General features: G+C 45.0%; 1 annotated feature.

Moving 5' to 3' along the window:
• Positions 9651 to 9851: a silencer, noted in NCBI's record as "peak843 fragment used in MPRA reporter construct". NCBI's record gives its function as "represses an SCP1 promoter by STARR-seq MPRAs in K562 erythroleukemia cells {active_cell/tissue: K562}" and the evidence as "EXISTENCE:reporter gene assay evidence [ECO:0000049][PMID:32103011]".

Consider the following 10065-nt stretch of genomic DNA (forward strand, 5'->3'; position numbering starts at 1 on the left):
TACCTTACTATCTTGGGATCTGTGATAAGTCAACAGTGCCCAGTGGAAACTTAGTTTCTCATGACTTAGAAAAAAAAAAAAGGTTTGTTAAACCAAATAAAAATATAAACCATTGTAAGAATATGTTTTCAATAATTAAAAACTTTAAGAAACAAAGCCTCAACATACATAGATATACTGTCAACATGCTTAGCAAACTAATCACATTATTTTATTAAGTAGAGACTATGAGGGTCTTACACCAGCTACTAGAGTATCACGTCCCCTAGGTACAATTCCAAATTCCAGGAAGTTTGAAACCAATTTCTTTTTCTTAATTCATCTGGCACCTTGTTTAAACTGAAATAAATTACAGTCACGTGCTGTGTAACATTTCTGTCCACTCTGGACTACATACATGACGGTGGTCCCTTCGAATTACAGTAACATAGTTTTACTTTCTTATGTTTAAGTATGTTTAGATACACAAATACCACTGCATTACAGCTGGCTACAGTGTTCAGTCCAGCGCATCCTATATAGGTTTAGAGCCTGGGAGCAACAGGCCATATCATACAGCCTAGGTTTGTTGGGGACCGCACCATCTACATCTGTGTAAATTCACTCTGTGATGCTCACATCATGATGAAACTGCCTGGCAATGCATTTCTCAGGAGGTATCCTCCTTGCTAGTTGACTCATGACTATAATGGCAAAACCTGACCTAACCCAAGACAAGGCTCTCCTATTGTGTAAATATTCATGTTTTTCTCAGCACAGATCTCAATAGACAGTTAATTCTGTTTATTCCTGGTAATTCTGTTCAATAAAGTCTCTGTGAACACTGAATTGGTGAGCACTGAACATTTGCTCCTAGGGGAAATACAGGGTTAGGTTCCTGAAAGCCTCTGGTCTCAATATTTTCATCAAGAAATCAATGCATAGCCCCGTTTTAAGTGTGTTTCTGTTTAAAGACACCTCATTTAATACACACAGTGGATTCATGAACGATGAACTCACAGCCAGCAGTACTGGAACATGTGCCTGAGTGAAGCTTCTGGAACTCAGGTATTTTCTCCACAAGGCACATCACAGCCTCTGTGCTCAGAGACAAAAAGACAGGAGACAGCACATCTGCAGTATACTCTGGGCCATCCTGAACAGGATCATCATCAACAAAAGCATAGAAATGAAACATTTTTAAAAATGTGGCTCTTGGGGTTGGGAGTGGTGACTCACACCTGTAATCCCAGCACTTTGGGAGGCTGAGGGGGGTGCATCACTTGAGATCAGGAGTTAGAGAGCAGCCTGACCAACATGGTGAAACCCCGTCTCTACTAAAAATAAAAAAATTAGCCGGGCATGGTGGCATGTGCCTGTAATCGCACCTACTTGGGAGGCTGAGGCAGGAGAATCACTTGAATTTGGGAGGCAGAGGTTGCAGCGAGCTGAGATCACACCATTGCACTCCAGCCTGGGTGACAGAGCGAGGCTCCATCTCAAATAATAATATTAATAATAATAATAAACAAATAAAATAAATAAAAATTTAAAATGTGGCTTTAAATAGGTAGCATAATGGAAACTTGTTCACAGCACGAAACAAGAATGCAGAGGTCGCCTGGCTTAGCCTTAGCTGGGAATGTGAGCACAGCAGGTGGTGCAAATTTTATATTAGTTTTTTGATGCATGCATGTCTGTGAACAACTGTGAAAGTACTGTGAGCGTTGATTTTGTGGTTACAAATATATTTTATCAGGTAGGAAATTTAGAAATACGAAATCTGCAAATAATGAGGGCCAACTCAATTTCATTCCTGAGCACTGCCTGGACACTTTCTATACAACTGCTATAAAACACAGGCACGGCTCTGCCTTTCTGAAGTCTGAAGGTTTAGAATTCTAAAAGATCCTTGGCTCCAAGGAGTTCAGGTATGGGATTTGGCATTCTTCTTGTCTTCAGAAATACAATAAAGGCTTGAAAACTGAGTTTCTGTGAGTCAGTATTAATTAATCTACTTATTCTACAGCTGTTATTTGGTATTCCAGATAAGCTTGTGGGAGAAATGGAGGTAATGGATAATTTGTTTTCAAATTGTTTTATTTTTCCCCATCAATTTGCTTGACAGCTGTATTCTGCTATTGTCAATAGGCTACCCCCATGAGGTGCAAATACACAGCATCCCTCATGTAAGGGGATATGGGCTGCACGTTAATTGTAAAGTGATCCCATGTCCCAGTGACGTGAAGAAGGAGAATTCTGTGCTGCTCATACTGATGAGGGTGCAGTGTCCATGTGCATTACCTGGAACTCTAACTTACTCATCAAGATGCACACCTGACTTCCTCCTTGCCCCATGCATGGAACAGGTAGCACTTCAGAAGGAATTAAATGACTATGGGCATAGAGACTGTACAATCTTTTGGGAAGACTCAGCATGGCACACAAAGGCAGGCATGGGAACACTCTGCAGATATGGGCAAAAAGCAGGTGCATTGTCTTGGAGGATTTTAAAAACCAATAACAAAATTGATCAAACCTTGGTCTGTTTTGCATTATCGTCGTGTCATGCTGTCACTGCTGGTAATGAGTTACTCCTCCACGGGGGGAGATCAGATCTTTTCTTGGTTTATCTTCGAAATGGCTACTACATATCAGCTTTGGATTGGCACATTTCCATTCCTTACCCTCTGCGTAGCACTGCAGACGCCACGACCGTGAGTCCAGCCCCGGCACGTGGGCCCGCTACACATCGCAGATTCAGGACTGAGTTCCAGGTGGCCTTGAATGGTTCCAGCTCCCTTTAAGCATAGCTCCCATCTCCAGCCCTCGGGCCCTACACACTCCTGAGTTGAAAGAGTCGATTCCAAATAAACAGCAATAGCACAATGACTGCAAAGAGGAGGACAAGAAAGTGAGTGGGCTCAGATCCCTCATTCTACCAGATCACTCGCAGTATTGTGTTTTGAATTTAAAACAGCGAAACAGCGTAAGTTTTGAGGTACTATTTTGTTTGACAAATGCAAATTTTAGTTTAGATATGGAATATTATGCTAAATAAGAAACATATATCTAAAATTGAAATTAATCATTTTTAAATTATTATTTAAAACTAAAAACCAGAAATAAATAATCTTAAATCAGTGATATGATATAATTTTGTAAATTTTGTCTTTAGCAATAATTTTTTGGCTACCAATCATTTACATTTAATAGTATTACATCAGACAGTTAACAAAACATTAATGTCCACATTTTTAAAAGCTATTGTATTTTTGAAATATTTGTAGTGTAATATCTTTCATAACTTTTTGTTAGTATGATTTTATATGTAGAAATATGAAGCTGAATTTTAAAAAAATTTGCTCTCGATATTTTCTGGTCTATTAATATTGTTTTATATTTAATATGATATGTTTTTATTAATATGTTTTTATTTAATATGATAATTTTGGAAACAATTTTGTCACATAGAGGGTAAGATGCTCAAAGATGATCTGTTCCTCAGGTCTGTATGCTAGGTATTGGTCTGCTACAGAAAGTGGTAAAAAGATTCTAGAAGCACCTTTTAATTTGAGCTTACATTTTATTTTAGTTGGTCAAGATATAATTCAGAAGGCAAGGGGTACTAGAACGTACTAGCAGGGCAGGGAGAACGGGGGACAAGCTGCCTGCCTGAGATGCTCAGTCCAGCTCAAAGGGTCCTAGGACATACTCGCAGGACAGTAGGACAGTGGGCAAGCTGCCTGCCTGAGAATCCAACTCCGAGGGACCTAGGATGTACTTACAGGGTGGGAAGGACGGAGGACAAGCTGCTTGCCTGAGATGCTCAGTCCAGCTCTGAGGGTTCTAGGATGTACTTACAGGGCAGAGAGGACAGTGGGCAAGCTGCCTGTCTGGGAATCCAGCTCTGAGGGTCCTAGGATGTATTGTCAGGGCAGGAGGGACAATGGGCAAGCTTCCTGCCTGAGATACTCAGTCCAGCTCTTAGGGCCCTAGGTTGTACTGGCAGGGCAGGAAGGACGGTGGACAAGCTGCCTCCCTGAGAGTCCAACTCTGAGGGTCTTAGGATATAATCACAGGGCAGGAAGGACAGTGGGCAAGCTACTTGCCTGAGAATCAGAGTCCAGCTCCGAGGGTCCTAGGATGTACTTACAGGGCAGGAAGGATGGTGGATAAGATGCCTGTCTGGGAATCCAGCTCTGAGGGTCCCAGGATGTACTAGTAGGGCAGGAAGGATGGTGGGCAAGCTGCCTGCCTGAGATACTCAGTCCAGCTCTGAGGGCCCTGGTGGACGCCTGATGGGCAACAAACACGAGGTGCCAGTGCATCAGTTGGCCAGGAAGGGTCTGTTTCACATCATGTGTATTTACATCTGTCCCCTTTTGTCTTCCCTGTTAGAGTTCTCACAGATAACAACCTTCACGCAATTCTGAACTACAAAACGTAAAGGGAGGGCACTGCAATTGTGTTTCCTGCCTCTATCTCACTGAGATGAAATCTCATTTCTAAGTACGAGGTTGAGCCATACGCACTGCCATTTTTCTCAAAAACAGAATAGAAGCAGTTTCATGCTGTTCAACCTAATAACTGCTTTAAACTTGGAAGATGCAAAGTCTGCTTCTGAGGTGACCCAAATAGGGGTCCACCAGGGATGGGATTGAATCATTTGCTCTAAAGTGGTTGTCCCCAACCTTTTTGGTACCAAGGACCAGTTTTGTGGAAGACAATTTTTCCATGGAGTTGATTTTGGGTAGGGGGTGGTTTCAGGATGGAACTGTTCACCTCAGATCATCAGGCATTAGTTAGATTTGCATAAGGAGCCTGTGACCTCGATCCCTCATGTGCCCCATTCACAGTAGGGTTTGTGCTCCTGTGAGAATCTAATGCTGCTGCTGATCTGACAGGAGGTGGAGCTCAGGTGGTAATGCGAGTGATGGGGAGTTCCTGTAAAGGAAGATGGAGTTTCGCTCACTCGCTTGCTGCCTGCTAGTCACCTCCTGCTGTATGGCCTGGTTCCCTACAGGCTGCCGACCGGTACAGATGTGCAGCCCGGAGGTTGGGGAGCCCTGCTGTAAAGCATGGGCAGCTTCCAACACAGCCTTCTCCCAGCGTGAAACAAACAGCTGCACTAAAACAATCAAATAAAATCAAATCCCAGACCTCGTGTAGCCTGGTGTCTCCCACTCAGATGCCGCACCTGTAGAGACCCGGGAAAAGGGAGTTTCTATGAGCCTGAGAGGCTCTTCTAGTACTTTTTCTGCCTCTGCTTAGAACATTGCTAAAGAAAATCAAATCGCTTAATCTCTAGCCACCTCCAATCTTTCCATCTCCCCCATCTATTATGTCACCAAGAAAACTGAAGCAGTTGAATGTCTATATTCTGCAGTGACCCTGTATGGGCTGATCAGGGACCCTGTCGCTGCTATTCTGGCCCCTGGAGATGCTGGTGTCCCAGCAGAGTGCAAGGCCCATCCTCCTCCCACGGCCGCCACACTCCCCTGTGTGTGTAGAATCTCATCATCGCCTCTCAGCCTCCTCAGCTCTGTAGCTCTGGCTGGTCCCCGTCCACTACAGAACCCGTTCCTTCCTTTCTACTGGATTTTCCCATCACTGTGCAGACAGATTATATTACTCATCTCTAAAGAGACTTTGATCCTGCACCCCTTTCCATATGATATCTGATTTTTCTGTCCCCTTTTATGGAACGATTTCTTGAAAGAGTTGTCCACACTCACTGACTCACTTCTCTCATTCTCCTCAGAGTTCACCCCAAGTCCAGAGAAAACGCTGTTATCAGGCTTCCCATGGCAGCCATGCTGCAACTCCAGTGGGCACTTGGTGTTAGCATCTGCATTAATTCCTGTGGCTGCTGTAACAAATTAACACAGACTGGGTGGCTTGAAACTGTAGACATTTATCCTCTCGCAGTTTGGGGACTGGACTATGAAATCAAGGCATGGGCAGGGCCATGCTCCCTCTGAAGCCCCCATGGGAGAAGACTTCCTTGCCTCTTCCAGCCTCTCATAGCCCCAGGTGGTCCTTAGCTCGTGGGTGCATCTCCCCATCTCTGCCTCCATCTTCCCATGGTCTTTTCCTGTAAGTCTCCGTTTCCATATCTCCCTCTCCTATCTCTTATAAAGACATCAGTCAATAGATTTAGTACCCACATTAGTCTAACATGAGCTCATCTTAACTATGTTATACCTGCAGGCCCCTGTTTCCAAATAAGTCTTCATTTGCAGGTACTGGCAGTGAGAACTTCCACATCTATTTGGGGGGGACAAAATTCAAGCTACAGCAGCCTTGGATTTGACCCCTCAATAACATTTGCTGTTGTTATGGTTTGAATTGAACACCCCGCAAATTCCTATGTGGAAGTCTGAGCCCTGCTATGTCCAAATGGAACTGTGTTTGGAGACAGGCCCTTCACAGCGGGAATTCATGTAAAATGGAGTCATTGGTTGAGAGCTGGGGACAAATCTTACTTGACTGGTGTCTTTATAAGAAGAGAAAATGCAGACACAGAGGAGATGCCAGAGGTGTTCAGGAAAGACCCTGTAAGGACACAGGGAGAAGACTCTGTCTACCAGCCACAGGGAGAGCCCTCGGGAGAAGCTCAAGCTAACTTCACCAAAGGAGTTTCTGTCCTGCCTCCCCACACCCACTTCTCCCAACCTCTCAACTCAGTAAAACGCTAACTCTGTCTGTCCCAGTGCTCAGATCCAAACCTTGGAGTCATCATCAATTCTCTCTATGTGTAATTTTAGAGACAGGGTGCTGCTCTGTTGCCCAGGCTGGAGTGCAGTGGCACAATCACAACCCGCTGCAGCCTTGACCTCCTGGGCTCAAGCGATCCTCCTACCTCAGCCTCCCTAGTAGCTGGGACCACAGGTGCATGCTAATTTTTGTAGAGATGGGGTTTCTCCATCCTGCCCAGGCTGTATTCCCTCTCTAATTCACACACCACCCAGTGAGCCAGGGCTTCTTCCTTCCTGTGCTTAAAAACATCAGTATCTGGTGACTTCTCACCGTACCCCTAACAAGACTCCGGGTTGAACCCCCTGCTTCTCTCCTGTCCTCCTGACAATCCACGCTCCACAGGGAGGGAGGATGCTTTAAATGAAAATTACATCTGGTTACTCTCCTTCTTCCAACCTTCCCACAGCACAACACTGCACTCAGTAAAAGGCCCCACTGACTACTCTGCTCCACACAGTGCCACCTGGTTCTAACCTCAACCTCAGCACCCGTGATTCTTCTTTTTGCCTCAGGCACAGTTCTTAAACATCTCCTATTTATTCTTGCCTTGCAGCTTTTCCAGTAATGATTCCATCTGGCTGGAAAGCTCTCACCTCTGCGTAACTGACCAGTTCTCATTCATGTCTTCCCTTAAACGTCACTTTCTAGCAGAGGCCATTTCTGAACCACCCATCTACAGAGCCCACAGTCACTTTCTAGCACACAGACTTCTTCTCTCCATTGCTTGTTTGCCTGCATAATTGTTGCTTGTCTGTCCTCCACCACTGAAAATTAAATGCGTGGAAAGTAAGGATTGAGATTAGCTTGTGGGCCACTGCATGTCCTGGGCTCAGAGTGATGCTGGGAGCCTGGGAACCCCTCAATGACAGAAGTTTGTCACTTGAGGGAACAGGGCCTTCTTATGTGGGATGAGATAGAAGAACCAATGCCAACCCTACGCTTACAATCATCAGGGCACTCTCCTCTACAATCTCATTATTTTTATATTCCTTGACACTGTAGATTATTCACACACAAGGAACACTCATTTTGACGCACCTTCAATCTTCAAGGAGCCTAAACTGTCACAGGACAAGTGGCAGACCCTTCCTTTTACATACACCCTGTCCCTCACTTCCTGCTCCGCTTCAAAACATGTGCCGAATGTCCAAGTTTAACTCGGCCCAACTCAGCTCTGCACAGCCATTTGCAGGGGGTGGCATATGGGCTCAGTGGGGTTCAGAATGTGGATTGGATGCAGTAACTGTAGGAACAAGAGGCTCAGAGTGAAGCTAGGCAAAAAGTTGTTACACACTATAGAAAAATGCACTACATCCAAATGCAATCATTCTTTTTTCAGTCCTAAGCATTGGACCTGGCTCAGAGAACAATTTCAGCCTCTAAAGCCATAGCTTCAACATCATCCACAAGACAAATTTCACTTTGAACACTGAGGAGAGCTGCCAAGTACGGGACCCTGGAGCCCAGCCCGGCTGTATGAATCCAAGTGATGTTGGGTGTGACAAAGCTTGCTGAGGTCAGCCTGTGCTTAAGACAAATAAGTGGAACACACACAGCCCTTCACATCAGCAGGAATAAGAAGAAAGCAAGTGGAAAATTCACCTGAAACCCTCATCTCACTTCAATCCTTGAGTAAAAGGCCCGGGATAGACGAGTTGACTCAGAATAATTGAAAATTTTCCTGGATTGCTGGTAGCCCTACGTCCAGAGCAGAAGTGCATTTAATAGATTTTCCTCATGAAAGGAATTTGAAAAATGTAAAAACTATGGAAGAGAAGTAAATAAACATACCTTTAAAGTACTCCTTCCAAGTCTTAACCCAAAGCACACATTTTGGGGGAAATTTTTGCATAGCCACGTTTATGAGCATGCTTCGTGTATCACTTTGTCTCGTTTTTCACATAATAGAATGGCATAGGCATTTCCATGTTATTTTAACGTGGAATAACCTGGCAATAACCGGTACTTACTGTACAGTTGGGGTATAAATTAATTTAATGGCATCATTACATGTCATCAAGCTACTATGCATGGTTTATTATAAAATCACCTCATATTTTGGTTGAGTTAAAAATCTACTTTCTTTTTCTTTGATGCTTCTCTGTGTGTTAGTGTTTACTTCTCCTGAAACATATTAATATTTCATGGGTGGATCACTGAGTCACAGAGAATGACACAGATACAGATGAGTCCGTGTGGGTCCATCTGTCTCTAACTCTATACACGTGACAGCTCTCAACACAAGGCTGTAAAAAGTTTAAGAAGAAAGAGATATCAACTTCAGATGTGGAGGACACGCGAGAAAATCCCGCCCAATCCCAGCCTTCATCAGATAACTCCTGACACCGTCTAGACAGCTGGCATTTTCCAACAGTACCTCTATCCCAGCAGAATCTTATCCATTCCTTGCCAAACTACCCCCCGCTTTGTCTACCAGACTGTCCATCAGCACAATGATACTACCAGTCACCCAGACCCCAGGGCTAGCCAGCCACTCCTCACAGGAGCCAGACACAGCCCGGCTCGCTTCTTCTCTTTTCAAAACCACAAGCATCATGGCACTTTGCTGCAGTCAGGGCTGATCCTTCAGCAAGCTGTCATCAAAACCAGGAGTGCCTACTTGGCAGATGTGTAATCAAGGTTATGGGATATGCCCCAACCCAGAGGCAAAGCTACAGAAAGAAGATGGTCAGCCAGTCATCACAGTGATGTGTCTGCATTGAATCCCCACCCAGGGGCAGGCAGCCCAAATCCATGCCAGCCACTTTCTCCAACTCTGCAATCCTCCAGAGAGGCCCGGCCAGGCCTTCACACATCTCTGCACACTGTGTCCGTTCCTGCTCACTTGTGCACACATGCACATGTGGACACACACACACACACTTCACACATCTCTGCATATTGTGCTCATTCCTGCACACACACACAGAAGAATCCCTTCACTTCCTCCTCTCCCGGCACTGCCCGTCTGTTCAGCTCTACCTGGAGGACCTGCTCTGGAAGCCCAGCTCTGCTGCTGAGGCCTGCCCTGTTTCCTCTCTTAGTTTATAAACCTCCTGCCATCCATCTCTTTCATTTGAGTGGTTAATAATACGTTGTAAATTGTTCCCTAAGCTGTCCCATGCGTTTTATCACTGCAGCTGGGCTGCAATCTCCTGAAATCAGAGGCTCCGCCTTGCATCGCGCTTGTATCTGCACAGACCTTGGCTGTGAGCACAGGCCGATGAGCAGAGGTTAATCTCCCCACACAGACACACGACTATGATCAGGCATTTTTCTACCTCCGAAGGTCTGGCCTTGGGATCGGGGAGGGAGCTTGCTTTC

This window comes from Homo sapiens, chromosome 10, assembly GCF_000001405.40.
Source record: "Homo sapiens chromosome 10, GRCh38.p14 Primary Assembly".
Classification (NCBI taxonomy): domain Eukaryota; kingdom Metazoa; phylum Chordata; class Mammalia; order Primates; family Hominidae; genus Homo; species Homo sapiens.